The sequence below is a fragment of the Homo sapiens genome, chromosome 11 (genome assembly GCF_000001405.40).
Source record: "Homo sapiens chromosome 11, GRCh38.p14 Primary Assembly".
Classification (NCBI taxonomy): domain Eukaryota; kingdom Metazoa; phylum Chordata; class Mammalia; order Primates; family Hominidae; genus Homo; species Homo sapiens.
Window position 1 is genome coordinate 31,542,125 of NC_000011.10, and position 27,463 is coordinate 31,569,587.

The 27,463-nt window shown below is 36.5% G+C and overlaps 1 protein-coding gene across 3 annotated transcripts in view, besides 2 other annotated features; it reads left to right on the forward strand.

Annotated features, from left to right (window-relative positions):
- ELP4 (elongator acetyltransferase complex subunit 4) overlaps positions 1 to 27,463 on the forward strand; it is a 280,558-nt gene that overhangs the window by 32,358 nt on the left and 220,737 nt on the right. The window lies entirely within an intron of this gene.
- Positions 1,749 to 2,358: an enhancer, noted in NCBI's record as "H3K27ac-H3K4me1 hESC enhancer chr11:31565420-31566029 (GRCh37/hg19 assembly coordinates)". NCBI's record gives its function as "activates a minimal SCP1, AML or CMV promoter by ChIP-STARR-seq in naive H9 embryonic stem cells {active_cell/tissue: H9 hESC(naive)}" and the evidence as "EXISTENCE:reporter gene assay evidence [ECO:0000049][PMID:30033119]".
- Positions 2,359 to 2,967: an enhancer, noted in NCBI's record as "H3K27ac-H3K4me1 hESC enhancer chr11:31566030-31566638 (GRCh37/hg19 assembly coordinates)". NCBI's record gives its function as "activates a minimal SCP1, AML or CMV promoter by ChIP-STARR-seq in naive and primed H9 embryonic stem cells {active_cell/tissue: H9 hESC(naive and primed)}" and the evidence as "EXISTENCE:reporter gene assay evidence [ECO:0000049][PMID:30033119]".

Below are 27,463 nucleotides of genomic sequence, written 5' to 3' on the forward strand. Positions count from 1 at the left end.
AACACTTGGCATCAGATAATAAAAGTGATACCTGAGATATACAAAACAAAGAAGGCAAACCCTGTCATTTCCCTACCTTACTGAGTACAGTGTTTCCAAGCCACAGTGCAAAGAAGAGAAATACAAGATAAGGTGACCTTCAGGAGACACAGCTAGGATCACAAGGAGGTCAAGGAAATTCTATTTATAAATCAGAGTACCTGAAAGGGAAGAGGTATGCATCGAGTGAGTTAGAGATCTGCATAGGGTCGGTCTCCCTCTAGTCTTCAGATGAGTGCTCACCTGTACTTGTACACGAGGAGATGGCCTGAGGCTAGAGAAAGAACTACCTGACAATATTAGAAGTAACAATCCCCAGGGCCAACAGTAATTCCTGCTCCCACATGCCAGAGTGAAAAACTTCATAATTCATGAGGCATCAGGTGGAGTATTTAGAAGAGTTTTGCATTGGTAAAGAGCAAAATTATTCCCACATTATAAAACACTGCTGTGGTCCTGTCTAATGAGGCTTAAAAACAAGGCCTGAAGTAACCAACTGTTTTCAAGTACCTTAACTGTGTCCCAGTCCAAAGCTCAAAGTATAGTAATATTCAAGTGTCCAGCACCCAACAGAATAAAATATTCTGTGTCTGGTTTCCAGTTAAAACATAATAGACATGCAAAGAAATAAGAAAGTACAATTTATAATAAGGAGAAAAATCAATTAAAACAAAAAAGAAATGACATGATAGAATTAGATGAAAACATAAGTTTTATTACAAGTATATTATAAATATTCAGTAAGCTAGAAGGAAGATTAAACATGTTAAATGGAAACATGGAAGATGTAAATATAAACACAAGTTAAACTTTTAGAGATGAAAATACAGTGACTGCAATGAAAAATACACTTGAGGTGCAAAGTGGATTAGACACTGAAAAAGAAAAGATTAGTAAATTTGAAGACATGGCATTTAAAATTATACAAGATGAAACCTGGAAAATAGACTGGGGAAAAAAAAGATTTTTGCATTAGTGAGCTGTAAGATAACTTAAGGGTCCCTAACATGTGATTGGACTCTGTGAAGGGAGAAGGAGTAGTACACAACAAATATTTGAAGAAATAAGGAATGAAAGTATTACAGAAATAATGAAAAATATGCCACGATTCTGAGGTGTTTGGCAAACTCCAAGTTTTGTTGTTGTTGTTGTTTGTTTTTTGTTTTTTGTTTTTGGGACGGAGTCTCACTGTGTCACCCAGGCTGGAGTGTAGTGGTGTGATCTTGGCCCACTGCAAGCTCCGCCTCCCGGGTTCATGCCATTCTCCTGCCTCAGCCTCCCAAGTAGCGGGGACTACAGGCACCCACCACCATGTCCGGCTAATTTTTTGTATTTTTAGTAGAGACGGGGTTTCACCGTGTTAGCCAGGATGGTCTTGATCTCCTGACCTCATGATCTGCCCACCTCGGCCTCCCAACGTGCTGGGCAAACTCCAAGTTTTAAAAGTCCTGAAGAAAACAACATCAATGCACATCATAATCAAATTTCTTGAAGCAAGTGATAAAGACAAAATCTTGAAAGTGACCAGAGATAAAAGCACATTACATAGATAGGACCAAAGATAAGAATGACAGCCAACTTTTAGGCAATACAAACCAGAAAACAAGGAGGAAGTCTTTAAAATGCTAAAAGAAAAACACGTTATCAATTCAGAATTCTATACTCAGCAAATATCTTTCATAAACAAAGATTTTACAATTTAAAAAGGTGGTTTTTTATGAAAACAAAATAAAGACTTTCTCAAATGCTAAAATCAAAAAGAATTCACAACCACCAGACTTGCATTGTAAGAAATACTAAAGTTTTTCACAAAAAAATCAAAATAATGCCAAATGTGGAAAAAGATCGGGGAGGAGCCAAGATGGCCGAATAGGAACAGCTCCGGTCTACAGCTCCCAGCGTGAGCGACGCAGAAGACGGGTGATTTCTGCATTTCCATCTGAGGTACCAGGTTCATCTCACTAGGGAGTGCCAGACAGTGGGCGCAGGTCAGTGGGTGCAGTGCACCATGCGCAAGCCGAAGCAGGGCGAGGCATTGCCTCACTCGGGAAGCGCAAAGGGTCAGGGAGTTCCCTTTCCTAGTCAAAGAAAGGGGTGACAGACGGCACCTGGAAAATCGGGTCACTCCCACCTGAATACTGCACTTTTCAGATGGGTTTAAAAAACGGCGCATCAGGAGTTTATATCCTGCACCTGGCTCGGAGGGTCCTACGCCCATGGAGTCTCCCTGATTGCTAGCACAGCAGTCTGAGATCAAACTGCAAGGCGGCAGTGAGGCTGGGGGAGGGGTGCCCGCCATTGCCCAGGTTTGCTTAGGTAAACAAAGCAGCCGGAAAGCTCCAACTGGGTGGAGACCACCACAGCTCAAGGAGGCCTGCCTGCCTCTGTAGGCTCCACCTCTCGGGGCAGGGCACAGACAAACAAAAAGACAGCAGTAACCTCTGCAGACTTAAATGTCCCTGTCTGACAGCTTTGAAGAGAGCAGAGGTTCTCCCAGCGCGCAGCTGGAGATCTGAGGATGGGCAGACTGCCTCCTCAAGTGGGTCTCTGACCCCTGACCCCTGAGCAGCCTAACTGGGAGGCACCCCCCAGTAGGGGCAGACTGACACCTCACACGGCCGGGTACTCCTCTGAGACAAAACTTCCAGAGGAACGATCAGACAGCAGCATTCGCGGTTCACGAAAAACCACTGTTCTGCAGCCACTGCTGCTAATACCCAGGCAAACAGGGTCTGGAGTGGACCTCTAGCAAACTCCAACAGACATGCAGCTGAGGGTCCTGTCTGTTAGAAGGAAAACTAACAAACAGAAAGGACATCCACACCAAAAACCCATCTTTACATCACAATCATCAAAGACCAAAAGTAGATGAAACCACAAAGATGGGAAAAAAACAGAGGAGAAAAAGCAGAGCACCTCTCCTCCTCAAAAGGATTGCAGTTCCTCACCAGCAATGGAACAAAGTTGGACAGAGAATGACTTTGACGAGTTGAGAGAAGAAGGCTTCAGACGATCAAACTACGAGCTACAGGAGGAAATTCAAACCAAAGGCAAAGAAGTTAAAAACTTTGAAAAAAATTGAGACGAATGTATAACTAGAATAACCAATACAGAGAACTGCTTAAAGGAGCTGATGGAGCTGAAAGCCAAGGCTCGAGAACTATGTGAAGAATGCAGAAGCCTCAGTAGCCGATGCGATCAACTGGAAGAAAGGGTATCAGCGATGGAAGATGAAATGAATAAAATGAAGCGAGAAGGGAAGTTTAGAGAAAAAAGAATAAAAAGAAACAAACAAAGCCTCCAAGAAATATGGGACTATGTGAAAAGACCAAATCTACGTCTGATTGGTGTACCTGAAAGTGATGGGGAGAATGGAACCAAGTTGGAAAACACTCTGCAGGATATTATCCTGGAGAACTTCCCCAGTATAGCAAGGCAGGCCAACATTCAGATTCAGGAAATACAGAGAATGCCACAAAGATACTCCTCGAGAGGAGCAACTGCAAGACACGTAATTGTCAGATTCATCAAAGTTGAAATGAAGGAAAAAATGTTAAGGGCAGCCAGAGAGAAAGGTCGGGTTACCCACAAAGGGAAGCCCATCAGAGTAACAGCGGATCTCTCTGCAGAAACTCTACAAGCCAGAAGAGAGTGGGGGCCAATATTGAACATTCTTAAAGAAAAGAATATTCAACCCAGAATTTCATATCCAGCCAAATGAAGCTTCATAAGTGAAGGAGAAATAAAATCCTTTACAGACAAGCAAATGCTGAGGGATTTTGTCACCACCAGGCCTGCCCTAAAAGAGCTGCTGAAGGAAGCACTAAACATGGAAAGGAACAACCGGTACCAGCTGCTGCAAAATCATGCCAAAATGTAAAGACCATCGAGACTAGGAAGAAACTGCATCAACTAACGAGCAAAATAACCAGCTAACATTATAATGACAGGTTCAAATTCACACATAACAATATTAACTTTAAATGTAAATGGACTAAATGCTCCAATTAAAAGACACAGACTGGCAAATTGGATAAAGAGTCAAGACCCATCAGTGTGCTGTATTCAGGAAACCCATCTCACATGCAGAGACACACATAGGCTCAAAATAAAAGGATGGAGGAAGATCTACCAAGCAAATGGAAAACAAAAAAAGGCAGGGGTTGCAATCCGAGTCTCTGATAAAACAGACTTTAAACCAACAAAGATCAAAAGGAACAAAGAAGGCCATTATATAATGGTAAAGGGATCAATTCAACAAGAAGAGCTAACTATCCTAAATATATATGCACCCAATACAGGAGCACCCAGATTCATAAAGCAAGTCCTTAGTGACCTACAAAGAGACTTAGACTCCCACACATTAATAGTGGGAGATTTTAACACCCCACTGTCAACATTAGACAGATCAACGAGACAGAAAGTCAACAAAGATACCCAGGAATTGAATTCAGCTCTGCACCAAGCAGACCTAATAGACATCTACAGAACTCTCCACCCCAAATCAACAGAATATACATTTTTTTCAGCACCACACCACACCTATTCCAAAATTGACCACATAGTTGGAAGTAAAGCTCTCCTCAGCAAATGTAAAAGAACAGAAATTATAACAAACTGTCTCTCAGACCACAGTGCAATCAAACTAGAACTCAGGATTAAGAAACTCACTCAAAACCGCTCAACTGTATGGAAACTGAACAACCTGCTCCTGAATGACTACTGGGTACATAACAAAATGAAGGCAGAAATAAAGATGTTCTTTGAAACCAACGAGAACAAAGACACAACGTACCAGAATCTCTGGGACACATTCAAAGCAGTGTGTAGAGGGAAATTTATAGCACTAAATGCCCACAAGAGAAAGCAGGAAAGATCCAAAATTGACACCCTAACATCACAATTAAAAGAACTAGAGAACCAAGAGCAAACACATTGAAAAGCTAGCAGAAGGCAAGAAATAACTAAAATCAGAGCAGAACTGGAGGAAATAGAGATACAAAAAGCCCTTCAAAAAATTAGTGAATCCAGGAGCTTGTTTTTTGAAAGGATCAACAAAATTGATAGACTGCTAGCAAGACTAATAAAGAAAAAAAGAGAGAAGAATCAAATAGACGCAATAAAAAATGATAAAGGGGATATCACCACCGATCCCACAGAAATACAAACTACCATCAGAGAATACTACAAACACCTCTACGCAAATAAACTAGAAAATCTAGAAGAAATGGGTAAATTCCTTGACACATACACTCTCCCAAGACTAAACCAGGAGGAAGTTGAATCTCTGAATAGACCAACAACAGGAGCTGAAATTGTGGCAATAATCAATAGCTTACCAACCAAAAAGAGTGCAGGACCAGATGGATTCACAGCCGAATTCTACCAGAGGTACAAGGAGGAACTGGTACCATTCCTTCTGAAACTGTTCCAATCAATAGAAAAAGAGGGAATGTTCCCTAACTCATTTTATGAGGCCAGCATCATCCTGATACCAAAGCCGGGCAGAGACACAACCAAAAAAGAGAATTTTAGACCAATATCCTTGTTGAACATTCATGCAAAAATCCTCAATAAAATACTGGCAAACCGAATCCAGCAGCACATCAAAAAGCTTATCCACCACGATCAAGTGGACTTCATCCCTGGGATGCAAGGCTGGTTCAATATATACAAATCAATAAATGTAATCCAGCATATAAACAGAACCAAAGACAAAAACCACATGATTATCTCAATAGATGCAGAAAAGGCCTTTGACAAAATTCAACAACCCTTCATGCTAAAAACTCTCAATAAATTAGGTATTGATGGGACATATCTCAAAATAATAAGAGCTATCTATGACAAACACACAGCCAATATCATACTGAATGGGCAAAAACTGGAAGCATTCCCTTTGAAAACGGGCACAAGACAGGGATGCCCTCTCTCACCACTCCTATTCAACATAGTGTTGGAAGTTCTGGCCAGGGCAATTAGGCAGGAGAAGGAAATAAGGGTATTCAATTAGGAAAAGAGGAAGTCAAATTGTCCCTGTTTACAGATGACGTGATTGTATATCTAGAAAATCCCATTGTCTCAGCCCAAAATCTCCTTAGCGGATAAGCAACTTCAGCAAAGTCTCAGGATACAAAATCAATGTACAAAAATCACAAGCATTCTTATACACCAATAACAGACAAACAGAGAGCCAAATCATGAGTGAACTCCCATTCACAATTGCTTCAAAGAGAATAAAATACCTAGGAATCCAACTTACAAGGGATGTGAAGGACCTCTTCAAGGAGAACTACAAACCACTGCTCAATGAAATAAAAGAGGATACAAACAAATGGAAGAATATTCCATGCTCATGGGTAGGAAGAATCAATATCGTGAAAATGGCCATACTGCCCAAGGTAATTTATAGATTCAGTGCCATCCCTATCAAGCTACCAATGACTTTCTTCACAGAATTGGAAAAAACTACTTTAAAGTTCATATGGAACCAAAAAAGAGCCCGCATGGCCAAGTCAATCCTAAGCCAAAAGAACAAAGCTGGAGGCATCATGCTACCTGACTTCAAACTATACTACAAGGCTACAGTAACCAAAACAGCATGGTACTGGTACCAAAACAGAGATATAGATCAATGGAACAGAACAGAGCCCTCAGAAAAAATGCTGCATATCTACAAATATCTGATCTTTGACAAACCTGAGAAAAGCAAGCAATGGGGAAAGGATTTCCTATTTAATAAATGGTGCTGGGAAAACTGGCTAGCCATATGTAGAAAGCTGAAACTGGACCCCTTCCTTACACCTTATACAAAAATCAATTCAAGATGGATTAAAGACTTAAACGTTAGACCTAAAACCATAAAAACCCTAGAAGAAAACGTAGGCAATACCATTCAGGACATAGGCATGGGCAAGGACTTCATGTCTAAAACACCAAAAGCAATGGCAACAAAAGCCAAAATTGACAAATGGGATCTAATTAAACTAAAGAGCTTCTGCACAGCAAAAGAAACTACCATCAGAGTGAACAGGCAACCCACAAAATGGGAGAAAATTTTCGCAACCTACTCATCTGACAAAGGGCTAATATCCAGAATCTACAATGAACTCAAACAAATTTACAAGAAAAAAACAAATAACCCCATCAATAAGTGGGCGAAGGACATGAACAGACACTTCTCAAAAGAAGACATTTATGCACCCAAAAAACCCATGAAAAAATGCTCACCATCACTGGCCATCAGAGAAATGCATATCAAAACCACAATGAGATATCATCTCACACCAGTTAGAATGGCAATCATTAAAAAGTCAGGAAACAACAGGTGCTGGAGAGGATGTGGAGAAATAGGAACACTTTTACACTGTTGGTGGGACTGTAAACTAGTTCAACCATTGTGGAAGTCAGTGTGGTGATTCCTCAGGGATCTAGAACTAGAAATACCATTTGACCCAGCCATCCCATTACTGGGTATATACCCAAAGGACTATAAATCATGCTGCTATAAAGACACATGTACACGTATGTTTATTGCGGCACTATTCACAATAGCAAAGACTTGGTACCTACCCAAATGTCCAACAATTATAGACTGGATTAAGAAAATGTGGCACATATACACCATGGAATACTATGCAGCCACAAAAAATGATGAGTTCATGTCCTTTGTAGGGACATGGATGAAATTGGAAATCATCATTCTCAGTAATCTATCGCAAGAACAAAAACCAAACACCACACTTTATCACTCATAGGTGGGAATTGAACAATGAGAACACATGGACACAGGAAGGGGAACATCACACTCTGGGGACTGTTGTGAGGTGGGGTAGGGGGGAGGGATAGCATTGGGAGATATACCTAATGCTAGATGACGAGTTAGTGGGTGCAGCGCACCAGCATGTCACATGTATACATATGTAACCTGCACATTGTGCACATGTACCCTAAAACTTAAAGTATAATAATAAAAAAAAAATAAAAAATAATGCCAAATGAATATTTGGATCTAAACAAAGATATCAGAAGGACTGGAAATAAGTAAATATATAATACTTTTATTTAAGTGAGTATAAAATACTTTTTTTCTCATTTTGTAAAAATAAAGTCATTAATGGTGAGAAAGAGAATAGAGGAAAAATGCAGAATTTGGCGCATGATGGATATATTTTTTGTCTTGATTGTATTAATGGTTTCCAAAGTATATATGAAGGGACTTCAAAAAGTTTGTGGAAAAATGGAATTAAAACATAAAACCATAAACATTATTTCAAAACATAAGCTCCATCAAGTTCAAGACACTTTTGTGAGTGATGATACCAGCCATTCAGTCCATTCTTAAAGAACTGAGGGTCCTGGGAATTTAACTATGTCAGTAGTCTTTTTTACTTTAACTGAAGAAAAATAGTGACATTTACAGATTTTGTATTAAGATTGGGAGACAAAAAAGAGTTGGAGGAGCCAAATCAGGACTGTAAGATGGGCACATAATGATTTTCCATCGAAACTCTTGCAAAAATACCCTTGTTAGATGAGAGGCATAAGCAGGAGCTTGTCGTGGTGGAAAATGCCTCACTGATGAAGATTTCCCAGACATTTTTTTCTGCCAAATCTTTGGATACATTTCTCAAAACAGTCATAATAAGCAGATGTTGTTCTTTGGCCCTCCAGAAGGTCAACAAACAAAATGCCTTGAGCATCCCAAAAAGCTATTGTCATGACCTTTGCTCTTGACTTGACCCCTTATGCTTTCACTTCATCACTTCGACTTGCTAGCCATTGCTTTGATTGTGCTTTTTCTTCCGGATCATACTGGTAAAACCGTGTTTCATTGCCTGTCATAATTTGTTGAAGAAATCCTTCAGGATTATGATCGCACTTGTTTAAAATTTCCATTGAAAGCTCTGCTCTTTGCAACTGATTTTGGCATAGCAGTTTTGGAACCCATAGAGTGGAAAGTTTGCTCAACTTTAATTTTTTAGTCAGAACTGTGTCAGCTGAACCAATTGAAATGTCTGTGGTATTGGCTATTGTTGTGCTGTTAATCGTTAGTCCTCTTTAATTAGGGCATGAACAAGATGAGGTTTTTTCCCTGCAAATCGATGCGGATGGTCTGCAGCTGCAGCCTTCATCGTCAACATCATCTCGTCCTTCCTTGAAATTAGTTATCCATTTGTAAAGTGCTGATTTCTTTGGGACATTGTCCCCATAAACTAGTCTCAAAGCATCAATGATTTTATCATTCTTCAACCCAAGCTTTACCATAAATTTGATGGTTTTTCTTACTTCAATTTTAGCAGAATTCACCTTCTCTAATGGGGCTCTTTCTAAACAGCTAACTGTGCTTCTTAGTGCCTCAAACTAGATCTTGTTAAGACAAATTAGTATAAGTTTATTTTGGTGCAGAAAAGTTTTGGAAGTTATGCATGGTTTTTTTCACAATACACTTTTACCGTGAACTTTTTAAAGACTCCTTGTACCTCTGTAAAATATTACCAAATTACATGCATTAAGTATGGGCAGTTTGTTATGTGTCTGTTATACCTGAATAAAGCTATTTCTAAGAAAAATGGAATTTCAGTTAGTAAATTCATGTTCAAGTACAATTCTGCTGTTTTTTAAATAATTTCAGCAACTTGTTTGTACATTACCTCCTCTTTTATGAAATAACGGTGACACTTGACCTTGTGAAAGTCTTTTCAAAACATATCATGACCCTAATTTTATAAGTAAGAGATAGGAGACTAGGTTGACACACAGATTTCTAACCTAGTAACAAAAATAATAATAATCAAACTTCCTTCCTTTTACTTTGGTTTCCCTAGCAATTCTGATGTAATAAAATTTGAGATATTTTATCTAGAAGACTGTATGTTACTGTGGTCATCTCTCAGGCCTCATCTGACTTGCCTCATCAATAGCACTTGATATCATTGATCATTCCTTCTTCCCCGATATACTTTCTTCCCTTGGTTTCCAGGATACTACCTTCTTGGTGTTCTCCTAACTAGCCACTTTATCTTATTCTTCTTTGCTAGTTCTTACTTATTTACTCAAACTTTTAATAGACGTGTCTTTGGACTCAGACTTTATAACTCCTCTGTTCCTGTTCTCTCGCTGATCACGTCTGCCCCAAGGATGTCAGTAGTATGTATATGCTGATGACTTTCAAATTTATAATCTACTTGGACCTATCCAGAGCTGCTATTGCCTTCTGTACATCTAACTCCTGCAATTGTATATCCAGCTCCCTACAGTACATATTACTTTAGTCTATTGGAGATCTCAAACATCACATGTTCAAAACCAAACTCCTGAACTGCTCTCCCCAAGCCTGTTCCTTTTTCAGCCTTTCCCATCTCAGTTAATATCAACTCACATCTTCTGTTTGCTCAAGCCTAAACCAAGGATTCATCCTTAACCCTTTATCTCCTATACTCTCCTTCAATATCTCAGGAAATACAAATATACTACTTTGAACATAAATTGTTTATTGCTTGGCCTCCCTGTTTCTACCTTTGCTTCTCTTCAGTCTGATCTCACCAAAATATTCAGTGAGCCTCTTCAAATGTAAGTCAGATCATGTCACTCATCTAAACTCAAAACTCTCCAGAAGACAAAGGCCACAGTCCTTATAAGGACTTTAAAGGCCCTAGCTAATATTCTGTTACCTCCCCTTTACCTGTCTGACCTCATTACTTAATATCTCCCCCTGACTTTATTCTGTTTATATGAACTGCCTTGCTTGCTAGGCATGCTCCAAAATTAGGGCCATTGGATTTGCTGTTGCCTTGGCTAAGAACTTTTTTGCTTCTCTCAGACTTTGCTCAAATGTTGCCATCTCAGCAGGGCCTAATCTAACTACCCTAATAAATGTTACAACGTCCTACTCCCACTCCCCAGGCCTCATAATCCTGTTAGCTGCCTTATTTTTCTCCATAACCTTACTGTCACCTGATATGCTTTATAATTTACTTCTGTATTAGTTCATTGTGTTTCTTCCGTACAAGTCTTTTCTGTTTTATTCATTGCTATATTTCTATTGCTTATTACAGTGGATGACAAATGAATCCTTACTATATATGAAAAGTCTGAGGAAACATGATACCCAAATATTTGGTCAAATATTATTCTAGGTGTTCCTGTGAGAGTGTTTTGAAAGGAATTAACATTTAATTTGGTAGACTGAGTAAAGTAGATTGCCCTCCCTAATTTGGGTGGGCCTCAGCCAGTCAGCAGAAGACCTCAATAAAACAAAAACGCTGACCATCCCGAGTCAGAGAAATTTTCCTGCCTGTTTTTGAACTTGGTAATTGGCTTTTTCCTGCCATATGACTCCTACTGAAACATCAGCTCTTCCTGGGTCTTGAGCCTGCCAGCCTGCAAATTGGAATTACACCTAGGTTCTCCTGGTTCTCAGACCAATGGACCTTGACTAGAACTACACTATTAACTGTCCGAGGTCTCCAGCCTGCCAACTTATCCTGCAGGTCTTTGGATTTGCCCACATCTATAATTATATGAGACAGTTTCTTACAATAAATCTCTTTGCACACACAAACACACACACACACACACACACACACACACACACACACACCCTATTGGTTCAGTTTCTCTAGAGAGCCTTAAATAATACAGTTTTTAATGTTTTAAAGCAGGGGCCCCCAACCCCCAGCCATGGATCAGTACTGGAACAGGGCCTCACAGCAGGAGGTGAGCAGCAGGCAACTAAACAAAGCTTCATCTGTATTTACAGCTGCTCCCCATTGCTTGTATTACTGCCTGAGCTCTACCTCCTGTCAAATCAGTGGTGGCATCAGATTCTCATAGGAGCATGAACCCTATTGTGAACTGCCTATGCAGAGGATCTAGGTTACGCACTCCGAATGAGAATCTAATGCCTGAAGATCTGCCACTGTCTCCCATCACCCCTGTCTAGCTGCAGGAAAACAAGCTCAGGGCTCCCAGTAATTCTATATTATGGTCAGTTATATAATTATTTCATTGTATATCAGTGTAATAATGATAGAAATAAAATGCACAATAAATGTAATGCTCTTGAATCATCCAGAAACCATCCGAGTCTGTGGAAAAACTGTCTTCCATAAACCAGACCCTGGTGCCAAAAAGGTTGGGGACTGCTGCGTTAAAGGATTCTCTTGCTCTAGAATAGCATAGGTTTGGTTTTGTTTTAAAGTTGTTATTTTTCTCTGGCTTTCTTCCATCCTCTTCCCCAGCTTTATTGAGATGTAATTGATGAATAGAAATTTATATATTTTATATATATGAATTATTTTATATGTATATAAAAAGTATATAACATGATTTGGTATATGTATACATTGTGAAACAATTACCACAATCAAATTAATTAACACATCTATCACCATACATAGTTACCATTTTTGGTGTGGAAGGAACACTTTAGATGTACTGTTTTAGCAAATTTTAAATATACAATGCAATATTATTAACTATAGTCACTATACTGTACATTAGATCCTCAGAACTTACTCATCTGATAACTGAAGTTTTATAGCCTTTGACAAACATCTCTTCATTTCTTCCACCCTCCAGCCCATCACAACTACCCACTCTGCTGTCTCTAGTTTTGAACTAAGGAATGTGTTCTAGTGTCATCATATCCATTATGCTTTATCTTGTGCATTTAGAATGTATTATCAAAGATATTATTGCTGAGACAAAAACCAAATTGTCTTAAGCATTAGATTTGTTTTTATGTAGCATTTCAGATTTTATATTCAATATGTTAACCGTAAAGTTGAATGTGTGATCTTTAGGAAAAATTAACTTGTTTGCTTTCAATGTCATTATTTGCTTTTAAATAAAGCCACTTACACAGATGAGTACCGAAAGTAGTCAAAGCGCCTGTATGCTAAATAATCTACAAAGTTAACATTTCCCTAAATTAATAAAATTTATCTGAGGGGGATATCCGTGGGGACGAGAAATGATTTGACTATAATGTGCTATGTACGATGAATGACTATATGTGCTATGTACTATCAAGGATTTGTAGGGTCGGTTGATATGCAAGGGGTATAGGATTGTCTTTGAAGGGTTCAATGTAATGTGTGACAGTTCGTTAAGTTATTCTAGTTCTTGCTTGTGAGCATTTTTAAACTATTTGAATTTTGATTATGTTTTCATATTTCACACTGCTCTAATCTGAAAATATATCTGGTTTTGGACTTAATACAGTCATTTCACCTGTTAGTAATATTTCTTAAATTCCTAATATTGTCATTTTATATTTCTTACATATTTGTTATGGAATAATAAAACTATTTGATTTTTTGGTACACTTACAGTGTTGTACAAACACTGTGATTAGAAGAATAATATGCCATTCTCATTTTACTATGAAAAAGTACAAAAGTATTGTTTTTAACATAATATATATATTAATGTGGTCCAGTTTTTGTGTAAGTTTAGAATATACTATATTTAAAAAGTAAGACTTATGAAAATTTAATTATATTCTTCATAACACCAGTGCAAAGAGATTTCTAACATCTCTCTGAGAAGAATAAACAAAATATTTTTGTAATGTAAAAAATGATATTGAATACCAATACAGATAAGTAGGGTTTTCTACATAATATTCACATAGGATTTCAGTATGCAGACCTCAATTACAGTTATACTTAGAACTTTATTTTCATCAAATAGTCCAACAATGAATGACCAAAACCAAGGAGTTAACAGTGTTTAAGAGATACAGTGTAGGGGGAAAATGCTGTAATTGTTTGGTTTTAATTTTATGATATATGATTGGGAATTTCTAGAACCTATAACCAACGCAAATATTTCTGTACAAGAATAGGGAAAAGACAGTCTTATAGACCATAATTATCTTAAAGCTGTGTATAACTAGAAGACAAGTAAAAGATAAAAAGCCCATCAGCTGCCTAAGATATATAACCACCCAGCAATTTATCCATCATCCTTTGAAAACATATTCATGCCTATTGTAGTCAAAGCTCCTTTAGGAAGTCAGCATTAAGATGTAATGGTGAAAAATTACACCCCTTAGAAAATCATATAGAACAATATACATGATGTTATTAAAGCTTTTAAAAACACATATAAGTATTTTTCAGTTAGCTTTCTTGTCTAAAGAAATTTTCTTCATCATCTCCAATGTAATGATGAGTATTTTCCATGAAAACTTTCTATGGAATGTTTTATAAAATAGTAAAAATTACATTTTTCTGTTAAAAGATTTAAACATTTATTAGTAGACTGATTTTTTATGAAATAAATTATATACACGTGCACACACAATTTTTATAGAGCTTGAAGACATTAAGATTTTTATATCCTTTTCATAATTTTTAATAAGTTATGTGTTAGTATTTTTAGAACTGAAGAAAATAAAAGGATTTTCAGAAGTAAATTTAAATGCTGTTTCATAATATGCCAAAGTCAGTTTTAAAACTTAATTTGAATATTAGCTAGTGATGACATTTCAGATAGGTAGTATTCCTGCAGGAAGAAGTATCTAAGATCGAGAGCAAAACATAAATTGTTGCATTAACTTTCGAATTATCTGTTATTGAGTATGCACTGTCCAGCATCAGCTACAATAAAAAGAAAGTAGGAGGCTAGGGTGCTTTAAACATGCTGAAAAGTTGTGTTTTTAAAATTTTACTCAGGATAGGTACATGATTATCAGCATATTAGAACTACCTTGATGTTTACTAAAAGCTTATAGTATATAATATTTTAACATCAAATATAACAGCAAATGAATAATTCAAATTTAATCAATTAAGCTGAAACTTCCCACAATTAATATCTAGAAAATCTTTCATAATTGAAAATGAATACTCACTTTGAAATAAACCAGAAGTCTGAGAATAAAGAGTTCATTAAAAGTAAACCATATCATATTTTATGAATTGATGCAGCAACAGAACATTTAGTAATAAAGCAATACATATAACATGTTAAAATTTAGACTAACATCTTTTAAATTTTTTTTATGGACTTTAAGGTCCATAAGTGAAAGTTAAAATAATATCTTAATAATTCGAAGGGTTTATATTATACCACAAAATACCAGACTTACCCAAATATTGAACTCATTTGTTAGGATCTGATTCATTGTACCTTATATATTTTGCTTTATTTGATTCTTTAGTTTTAACCAGTATCAAAGATATTAGTTGATGTAGAATTAGCTAAAGCAATATTATTTGCTAAATGATGTAAAGTTTGAATTATTATTATAAAGTTTTCTTTTCCTTCTGTCATTTTGGTATCAAGATATAAATGTTTGTTTTTGGCACCTATCTGTTATTCACTGAACAGAGAACAAAAATTAGAAGTCTGAACACAGTGAGTAGTCAGTTGTTTGCTTTTACTGCATTGTAGTATAGTTTGGTCTTTCTGAGTGAGTAGAATCCAGAAATACCTCAGGTGCAACTATTGTTTTCCTAGTTCTGCCAAAAAATGGGACAGTTATAAGAATGAAGTTAAAGTAATAACCCTTAATTGACCAAATATACCATTGAACATTTTTACTTTATTAAACTCCAAAGTTGTAATCATATACAGATTCAGAACAAAAGCCATACAGTGTATCATGTTATAAACAATTAAAAATTACTTTCTGACCGTTGGTATCAGTCTTCTTTGCAAGATTTAGTATACTTAATACCTTATAAATAATTTTTTTCCACACATTTTTACTTTTCCTAGACTATATAATGGTATTTATTATATTTCCTTAAAACTATTTTAGCACTATATATCTTTTGTTCATCATATAAATACAACTATTAGGAGAGTCCTTTGAAGGCAGAGCTATAATCAGAATATTTTCCCTTTTTTGTCAATATTTTATTTGTTCAGAAAGTTATCAGGCTATCTATACACTTTTCAGTGCTTACTACTCTGAAGTGTTAGTTGAGCCGGAAATTTGCTGTTTGACCCCAGGGTTTCACTCTTTTTTTTTTTCTTCCTGGCTACTGTGAGAGCTTATTTAAAATTCTAAGTTCTCCCTTGGCAGTCACAGTTAGAGCTTCTTTGGCAAAGTAAAAAGACTAAAAAAAAACATGCAAAGGCTCAGTACTGCTTCCAGTGACCTACATTTCTAGCCAGCTTTTAAAGATGGCATGTGCCTGATTTTCTAGTAAGGAAATGAAGGATAAGATAAAAATTAAAATGTACAGGAGAATAAACCGACTCTCCAACTCTCTATCACTAGCTAGTGAGAACCATTGCTGCTATATTAATATAAACACATTTAGCATTGATGTTTATTCATCAATCAACAAAAGGAATTTTGCATGCAGAAAAGTTGTCTAAGTCATACAGCAAAAATGCTATGCCCTGTGATAGGACGTTTATTCTCAAGAAAGTAAAACTTATTTGGAATCCAAGCTTAGATTTTAATTTCTATGTTACCACTTAACTAGCTGCAAGACCCTGCCTAAGTCACTTAGCCTTTTATATTAAGAGAGGAGTGATACTTACCCTGCCTACCTTATTCCGGAGTTCCAAATTAAAAATGAAATATCAGGTTTTCCATTCTAAATCTTAAAGCATTTATTTTAGTCCTCCAATTTAATTTAAGAAATTTTGTTTTGAACCCATAAAAATGAATAACCCATTCTTAGATGATTATTGTTATGTTCAAAAGAAATAATAAAATATAGCACTTTGTCATCATTGAAAAGAAGCCACCAAAGTCAGAATTGGGAATATTAAAAACAAAGTTCATTTTTCTTCTGAATACTTATTTTTTCAGAAGAAAAGATATTCAATCCTTTTGAGAGGGATAAATGACCTCAAATTCTGAAAACCAGAGGCATTAAAACTAAAAGAAAATACATTTTGTCAGCTCCCCAAATTAACATATTATCCCACTAAATGCAACATTAAAGGATGCCACGAAAGGAAAAAGGCAGCACACTGTCAAGGGTCAAATTAAATAGATGAGCTGTGAAGATTTATTTTGTACAAAAGGATAACTTTACTGTGGAAACCCCAAAGAAGATAGAGCTCTCTCTCCAGCTAGTGTTGGGGTGATTCCTTCAGTGGCTAGTGTTTCTTTCCTAAAATTTTAAGTTTTGCTAATCAGAAACTGACACCTGCAGCAAGTGGCCTTAGTTCACCACGTCTGTCTTTTCAAATTATGATTTGTTAATGAAATCAGAGGCCTTTGAAATGTGTTTGTTGTTTATATAATATTCATCTTACAGTTTGGCTACATGTCTGAAAGTCTATTAGATTTCAAAAACAGGGTAGATGATATTAAACTAAGAATAGATTTGAGACCATGAGGTGAAGCTTCTTACCTTTATTCTTTTTAAAACAAAGTATAACATATAGGCTGCTGTAGAATTAAAGACACACTGTTTTATGTCTTCACTAGTTACCTCGACTTCTCAGTAATCAAAGAGTATAAAGAAAATCAGTTTTGGGCCGGGAGCGGCGGCTCACCCCTGTAATCCTAGCACTTTGGGAGGCTGAGGCGGGCAGATCACCTGAGGTCAGGAGTTCGAGACCAGCCTGACCAACATGGAGAAACCTCATCTCTACTAAACATATAAAATTAGCCAGGCATGGTGGCACATCCCTGTAATCCCAGCTACTCGGGTGGCTGAGACAAGAGAGTTGCTTGAATCCAGGAGGCAGAGGTTGCGGCGAGCTGAGATTGCGCCATTGCACTCCAGCAGCCTGGGCAACAAGAGCAAAACTCCGTCTAAAAAAAAAAAAAAAAGGCAAATCAGTTTTGTTGTTTTGTTCTATAATTCTAGATGTACCACAGTAAATAATTTTCAAATTAAAAAAAAATAAAATGATATCCAATCTTATTAGTGCCCCACAATACCCTAAGCATTTTTGCTTGTGTCCTTTTTCATAAGCTGGGTTTATTCTGGAAATATAAAAGAAAATGACTTCAAACAAATGAAATTGTTCAAATGTTGTGTGTTCCTGTGCTAGGAATTTAACTGATCTGGACCCCTTAAATGAAGATAATATCTCACCTCATTCCTAATTTAGGTGTTGACAGTAGATATTTTTGAAGCTTTAGACTACTTCTTTTCCAAAAACTTAAAAATTCTATGATCTCTGTTTAAGAAATAATAATGATAGTAAAGATCTTTGTTACTATCTTAATTTCTTAAAAGATAATGTACTTATATTTAGTAACATTTCAGTTATATCAGGTTTTTAGAAATTATTTTAGTTCATATTCAATAGGGACACTTTTAATACTTAAAAGAATTTTGCAGACATAGAATCTTTCTATAACTCAATATTGTATAACTTGCTTGCCTAATATGAATTATCATCTTTCACATTTTCTTAAACACAGGTTAATATATACCCCTATACAGTAAACATTTACTAAAGGGCATTACTACACATGGTCTCACTAACTAAACCTGCAAATACCAGTGATTAAGTGGAAAAGTCTATCCACTTTTTAAAATATTTTATAAAATATATTTTAATTATTTTCTATTATAAAGACCACATTGTTTTATATATATATAAAACAACGTTGTTTTATATATATATAAAACAACATTGTTTTGTATATATATACGTACAGTCATGTACCACATAATGTTTCAGTCAACAAGGAACCACATACACAACAGTGGTCCTATAAGGTTCTAATACTGTATTTTTATGGTACCTTTGCTATATTTAGATACCCAAATATTCCCCATGTGTTATATTTGCCCACAATCTTCTACATTAATAGGCTGTACAGGTTGGTAGCCTAGCAGCAGTAAGCTATACCATATAGCCTAGGTATGTAGTAGGCTCTACCATCTACCACCTACATTTTTCTAAGTACACTCTGTGATGTTTGCACAGTGACAGAATCTCATTTCTCCTTAAACAATGCATGACTTTCTATCACCCACACATACTCATGCATGTGTATACATGTATACATAATACACACACACTGAAGTTTACATGCTTTTATCAGTGGTAGTTACCTAATTAGTAGCTCTTAACTATAGAATTATTTGCAGGTTATTATCTTATATTAACCCTCTATAGTTGTACTGAGTATACAATATACCCAGAGCCAGATTAAACATTGACAGCATTTAATATATGAACATTACATCATAAAAGAACCTGCCAAAGGAACACTCAAATTTTTATGGATAGAAATATTAATAGATGCCAAAGTTCATTCTTGTCTCTCTTTGAGCATGGAATTTCTCATTTTAAGCTTTCTTCATAATAAATTTGTTTGAAGAGCACATTATTTTTTATTTTTTATTTTTTGAGATGGAGTATCGCTCTGTTGCCCAGGCTGAAGTGCAGTGGTGCAATCGCAGCTCACTGTACCCTCCACCTACCGGGTTCAAGCGATTCTCCTGCCTCAGCCTCCTCCAAGTAGCTGGGATTACAGGCTCCCGCCGCCACACCTGACTAATTTTTATATTTTTAATAGAGACGGAGTTTCACCATGTTGGCCTGGCTGGTTTTGAACTCCTGACCTCAAGTGATCCTCCCACCTCAACCTCCCAAATTGCAAGGATTGCTGGTGTGAGCCACCATGCCTGGCCTGAAGAGCACATTTTAAAATAAGATATAATACAGTCTTTACATTATTATGTATAAACTTAATAAAATCTGTATCTTAGTTCAATATATGTAAGAAAATTGATAAAATTAATACATACTACATGCAGGGTTGTTGCTAACAGTTTGATGGCTTTAATTTTTGATATGGGTGAGAAAATAATTATGGAATCTATTATCAGAATGCCTTGAAAGTCAGCACATTTCCCTTTAAACTCCTTTTAAGTCAGTGCCATCCATAGGCAGTGTTGAAAGCATGTGGCTGCCTTGGTCAAGACTTGGAAGTGCTATTTATGTTATGAGTAGACATATTGCTGGGACCTCGATAAGAAATTTAAATCTGCCTGTACCTTATTTTCCCAACCTCACTACCAGATTGGGATAGAACCCAGGGATTAATTACATACGGAAATTGTTTTGAGATCTTTTGTGATTGGTACTTTTCAAAATGTGATAGTTTCTAATACAATATTTTTAAATAATTAGGTTATGATTTGTGTTTAAATGAAGATGGTATCCTATTTTTATTTCTTAGTGTAATCCTTTCATTTTGAATACATAATACAGATTTCCATTTCCTCTTTTTTCATGTTATCCTCCTCATTTGCTCTATCTTAATCAAGAAAAATGAAAGAAATATTATCTAGTCTTCTCAATACATTCCTGGTTTACATGTTAAAGAGAAATGTGATAGGGATCCATGGAAAAGGATTGAGAACACTGTCCTTATCCCACTGGTTTCCTTTCTATTTTCAGATTCATGTAATTGATGTGATTGCCAAATAACAAGCATCATTATTGTCAATACCTTAACTTATAAATGTATTAAAACAATATTTGTATACCAATGTGAAAGTGTTTTTCACCCTTTCTTTTTGTAATAGCAGTGATATTGCCACTTTTATATTCAAGAAAAATATCTTAAATTTCACTAAGATATTATCTGATCTGTATGGAATTTAGTTGAAGTATGCGTGGAAATAAGTTAATTCACTAATACTGGTTTTAAAATCTGAGTTTTAAAAACTTTTTATGCAATATCATCTATACCCCTTAACCTGACTTTATGCCATTCTATGACATTTTTTAAATGCTTCAAACAGCCAAAGTCACCCCTCCCCCATATTTCTAAATATTTTCAATGAAGATAATACAGGGAATATACTATTAATACATGGATACTCAGGTTAGATATTTGTAGTACTTTTGTATTAAAATTATGGCAATGAATCAGTAATATCTTTGATTTTTTTCTGTTTTCCAACTTTCAGAAAATAAAAGTTGCCAAAATAAACACAAAAATTCAACAAAGTAACATACTTACTGATACATGGATAATGCTTAAGTAGTATTAATTATACAGTTACCAAAACCTGGAAGGATCAAAAGATTTTATTTTTAAGAAGGATTTCTCATGCTGCATGGATTATGTTGGTACATAATAGCTCAGTAGTACTTCTGCTGAATTGTAAAATAGCTTAGAGAGGAGTATGATGCCCATAGTTGGTGTAATGCATTGGTGATTAAGAGGGTGTGAGGTTAAGCTTCATTAACTGCTGAGGGATTGTATCTTGGGTTTTATTATGCCCTAGAGAACATAAAAAGTGAGAAGGGTCAAACTGTTAGAATCAGATTTTGCTTGTGCATCTGCCAAAACAAAGACCACAAAATAATATAGCAGTAAGAACAGAAAGAGCTTGGAATGAAACGGGCCGAAATATATTTACAGCATCTTATGGATAAGGTAAATGTTTCTAGTGAGGAAATAAATATACATAAATACTGGAATAATATTTTTATATGGGAATTTTATAATTTTATTTCAGATAGGATCTTTAAAGGAGAAAAACTGTTGTTTTGTTGAAAGGTAGTCCTATTTTCTTTATTCATATTAATTTTCTAATCTGTTTCATTTGGCTAAAAGAGAAATTTCATCCTTCCCATCCTGTCATCTGTATAGAACTTATGGAGTCTGCTTTTTGTTTTTATTTATTCATGACCCTTGATACCATATACTTGAGAACCATAAGCACCAAATTGCAGAAAGAACCAAAACTCTGATAATCCCTCTGTTAGGAAAGAAAGATATAACAACAATACAGTATGTTCTGTTTGTGCTCTGGGTTAGAAATCAAAGGCTGGGGATTTTTGAAAGTGTAAGGGAGGATGTTATCTGTGATTGACAGCTGTAATAGTTCAATATTAAAGAGTTTTATGCCTAGCATTTTCTTGAAATAGAGCTTTTATCAAAACACTAATTAAATTTTTTGTTTGATTAGAAACAGTCATTGTAACAAATGGTATAGATTATAGTAGTGATCACCTCTGGAGGGTCAATGACTCCCAGTAAGTAACATAGTTAATGTTGGCATACTTAAAAATTTTAGTACTTCCAAATATAATAATGTATTGAATACAAACTTACATTATAAATTTCTGGGTATTAGATAACAAAAGTATCAGAATGTTCCTTCTTTGTTCCCCAACATATCATTTTCATTAAGTCATTTTTACTTGAATTATGAATAGTAATACTGTAACCACTGAAACAGAATTTTTATAGAGTAGATTTTTTTTCCAGAGATATAGGATGACACTGTTGCTTTAAGATTCATTTTCTTTTTTTTTTTTTAATTATACTTTAAGTTCTAGGGTACATGCACACAACGTGCAGGTTTGTTACATACATATACATGTGCCATGTTGGTGTGTTGCACCCATTAACTCATCATTTACATTAGGTATATCTCCTAATGCTATCCCTTCCCCTCCTGCTACCCCAGGACAAGCCCCGGTGTGTGATGTTCCCCTTCCTGGGTCCAAGTGTTCTCATTGTTCAATTCCTACCTATGAGTGAGAAAATGCGGTGTTTGGCTTTTTGTCCCTACGATAGTTTGCTGAGAATGATGGTTTCCAGCTTCGTCTATGTCCCTGCAAAGGACATGAACTCATCCTTTTTTATGGCTGCATAGTATTCCTTGTTGTATATGTACCACATTTTCTTAATCCAGTCTATCATTGGTGGACATTTGGGTTGGTTCCAAGTCTTTGCTATTGTGAATAGTGCCACAATAAACATGTGTGCCTGTGTCTTTATAGCAGCATGATTTATAATCCTTTGGGTATATACCCAGTAATGGGATGGCTGGGTCAAATGGTATTTCTAGTTCTAGATCCCTGAGGAATCGCCACACTGTCTTCCACAATGGTTGAACTAGTTTACAGTCCCACCAACAGTATAAAAGTGTTCCTATGTCTCCACATCCTCTCCAGCACCTGTTATTTCCTGACTTTTTAATGATCACCATTCTAACTGGTGTGAGATGGTATCTCATTGTGGTTTTGATTTGCATTTCTCTGATGGCCAGTGATGGTGAGCATTTTTTCATGTGTCTGTTGGTTGCATAAATGTCTTCTTTTGAGAAGTGTCTGTTCATATCCTTTGCCCACTTTTTCATGGGGTTGTTTTTTTCTTGTAAATTTGTTTGAGTTCTTTGTAGATGCTAGATATTAGCCCTTTGTCAGATGAGTAGATTGCAAAAATTTTCTCCCATTCTGTAGGTGGCCTGTTCACTCTGATGGCAGTTTCTTTTGCTGTGCAGAAGCTCTTTAGTTTAATTAGATCCCATTTGTCAATTTTGGCTTTTGTTGCCATTGCTTTTGGTGTTTTAGACATGAAGTCCTTGCCCATGCCTATGTCCTGAATGGTATTGCCTACGTTTTCTTCTAGGGTTTTTATGGTTTTCGGTCTAACATTTAAGTCTTTAATCCATCTTGAATTAATTTTTGTATAAGGTGTAAGGAAGGGATCCAGTTTCAGCTTTCTACATATGGCTAGCCAGTTTTCCCAGCACCATTTATTAAACAGAGAATCCTTTCCCCATCTCTTGTTTTTGTCAGGTTTGTGAAAGATCAGATGGTTGTAGATGTGTGGTATTATTTCTGAGGGCTCTGTTCTGTTCCATTGGTCTATATCTCTGTTTTGGTACCAGTACCATGCTGTTTTGGTTACTGTAGCCTTGTAGTATAGTTTGAAGTCAGGTAGCATGATGCCTGCAGCTTTGTTCTTTGGCTTAGGATTGTCTTGGCAAAGTAGGCTCTTTTTTGGTTCCATATGAACTGTAAAGTAGTTTTTTCCAATTCTGTGAAGAAAGTCACTGGTAGCTTGATGGGGATGGCATTGGATCTATAAATTACCTTGAGCATTATGGCCATTTTCACGATATTGATTCTTCCTAACCATGAGCATGGAATGTTCTTACATTTGTTTGTGTTAAGATTCATTTTCTAGGCCAGGCACGGTGGCTCATGCTTACAACTTGCTTAAGGCTCATATAAGTGTAATCCTAGCACTTTGGATGATCAAGGCGGTTAGATTGCCTGAGCTCAGGAGTTCGAGACCAGCCTGGGCAACATGGTGAAACCTCGACTCTACTAAAATACAAAAAAATAGCTGAGTGTGGCAGTATGCACCTGTAGTCCCAGCTAGTTGGGATGCTGGGGCAGGATAATTGCTTGAACCCGGGAGGCAGAGGTTGCAGTGAGCCGAGATTGCGCCACTGCACTCTATCCTGGGCGTCAGAGCGAGACTGCATCTCCAAAAAAAAAAAAGATTCATTCTCTAGCATAGGTTAATTCTGTATTTCACAAGACTTAAAAATCACACTACTGATTATTCTTAATTTGTATGGACCACATTTTTATTTTCTGTTATTTTTGTTCAAATTTTTGGCTAAAAGAATGGTTAAAAAAATATTGAAGAGTTACCAGGTAGTCACATAGGTCTTCGCTGGTTAACTTACTAGCATGATAACATTTATCCACACCATAATCGGGTAAAATACTTCTTTATATTGATGCAACACTTAGAAACAAAGATGCTAAGGGCATTTGCATCTGCTTACAAAAGGCATTCCATTTTTATCAGAATCTGAGAGGCCATTGATTGTAAGATGCATCATTATTAAATATACTAAGAGAAAAAAAGTATTCCCACCTGAACTAAGAACGTTTCTATTCACTTAAATTTTTTATTTAATTCTTATTGGAAGAGGTTTCTTAGACTTACTTATTTTTTAAGTCATATCACACCTGTCTATAAAAAAAGAAGCACAACATGTAAGGTACTTATAAAACTTCACATTCAGATTACTACTGTTCTAAATCACTTTCTGGCTCATAGTCATTGATATCCATGTGTTTCACAATTTACATTTTTCACAAGATACTGTTCTCTCTGTCATTAATAGCACTGGCAATGTAGTACTTCTTTATTTATTTTTTTTTTCAGCCTCCCGAGTAACTGGGATTACAGGCATGCGCCACCACCGCACCTGGCTAACTTTGTATTTTTAGTAGAGATGGGGTTTCTCCATGTTGGTCAGGCTGGTCTCGAACTCCTAACCTCAGGTGATCCACCTGTCTCAGCCTCCCAAAGTGCTGGGATTACAGGCGTGAGCCACCGCACCCGGCCTGTAGTACTTCTTAAAGGTGATGCAATATTGTACCCAGATTTTATTCTAAAACATTGACATCCATCCTGCAATTATTCGTGCAAGCACTGTCCTGATTTTCTCAGATAGGATCAATAGTAGTATCCTAAAAAGCCAGGATTTTTATTATTCTTTACTTGATCCATATATGGATTTTTGGCTGAAACATTGAAGAATTACATTTGTCCATTTGAACACCAAGAAAAACAAGCAAGTTTTTGCATATGCAGACCATAATAACTTTGTATCTGCTTCCAGGCTGACAGTTATGATATTCTCCCAGTTGTAAAATGCATCCTGATTTTAGAGATGGTAATGTGAAGAAAAACATGAGTCTTAGAATCAGTGAAATAAAGTAAATATATGCCTCATTTTTCAACCTTGGTTTTGATATAAAGGCATACCTTGGAGATAATGCAGGTTTGATTCCACACCACCACAATAAAGTGAGTCACTTTTTTTATTTCCCAGTGCATATAAAGTTATGTTGATACTATACCATAGTCTACTAAGTGTGCAATAGCATTATGACTAAAAAATAAATAATTTAAAAAGACCTTATTGCTAAAAAATGGTAACAGTTATATGAGCCTTAAGCAAGTTGTAATCTTGTTGCTGGTATAGAGTCTTGCCTTGATGTTGATGGCTGCTGACTTACAGGTTGGGGTGACTGTGGTAATTTCTGAGAAGAAGGCAACAATGAAGATTGCCACATCAATTGACTCTTCTTCTTATTAAAGATTTGGGTCTGTACAAGTGATGCTGTTTGGCAGCATTTTACCCACAGTAGAGCTTTTTTCAAAATGGGAGTCAACTGCCGAAAAGCTCCTTAAACTGATAAATGACTTCAGTAAAGTTTCAAGATACAAAATCAATGTATAAAAATCAGTAGCATTTCTATACACCAATAATCAAGCTGAGAGCCAAATCAAGAATGCAGTGTCATTCACAATAGCCACAAAAAGAATAAAATACTTAGGAATACGGCTAACCAAGGAGGTGAAAGTGAACTACAAAACACTGCTGAAAGAAATCAGAGATGACACAAATGAAAAAGTCTTCCTTGCTCATGAATTGGAAGAATCAATATCATTAAAATGGCCATACTGCTCATAGCAATTTAAGGATTCAACACTACTTCCATCAAACTACCAATGTCATTTTTCACAGAATTAGAAAACGTTATTCTGAAATGTATATGGAACTACAAAGAGCCCAAAGCAATCCTAAGCAAAAAGAACAAAACAAGAGGCATCACATTACCCGACCTCAAACTATACTACAAGGCTACAGTAACCCAAACAGCATGGTACTGGTATAAAGACAGATATAAAGACCAATGGAACAGAAAAGAGAACCCAGAAATAAAGCCATACACTGACAATCATCTGATCTTTGACAAAGTAGACAAAAGTAAGCAATGAGGAAAGGACTCCCATTCAATAAATAGTGCTGGGAAAACTGGCTATCCACGTGAAGAGGAATGAAACTAGACACCTGCCTATCGCCATATACAAAATTAACTCAAGATGGATTAAAAACCTAAATCTAGGCTGGGTTCAGTGGATCACACCTGTAATCCCAACACTTTGGGAGGCTGAGGCAGGCAGATCACCTGAAGTCAGGAGTTCAAGACCAGCCTGGCCAACATGGTGAAACCCCGTCTCTACTGAAAATACAAGAATTAGCCAGGTGTGGTGGCACATGTTTGTAATTCCAGCTACCCTGGAAGCTGAGGTGGGAGAATCACTTGAACCCAGGAGGCGGAGGTTGCAGTGAGCCGAGATCGTGCCACTGCACTCCAGCCTGGGCGACAGAGTGAGACCCCATCTCAAAAAAAAAAATAAAAAAAAGGAAAGAAAAAAAACCTAAATCTAAAACCTCAGATTGTAACAATCCCAGAAGAAATCCTAGGCGATACCCTTCTGGACATCAGCCTTGGCAAAGAATTCATGACTAAGTACTCAAAAGCATTTGCAACAAAAAGAAAAATTGACAAGTGGGACCTAATTAAAGAGCTTCTGTACCACAAGAGAAAGTGTCAATGGGATAAACTAACAATCTACAAAATGGGAGAAAATATTCACAAACTGTGCATCTGACACAGGCCTAATACCCAGATCCTATAAGAAACTTAAATCAACAAGTAGAAAACAACCCCACTGAAAAGAGAGCAAAGGACATGAACAGACACTTCTCAAAAGAACACATACAAGTAGAACACCACGGTGTCTGACACCTGTAAACCCAGCACTTTGGGAGGCCGAGGTGAGTGGATTACCTGAGGTCAGGAGTTCCAGACCAGCCTGGCCAAAATGGCAGTAAATCAGCTGGGC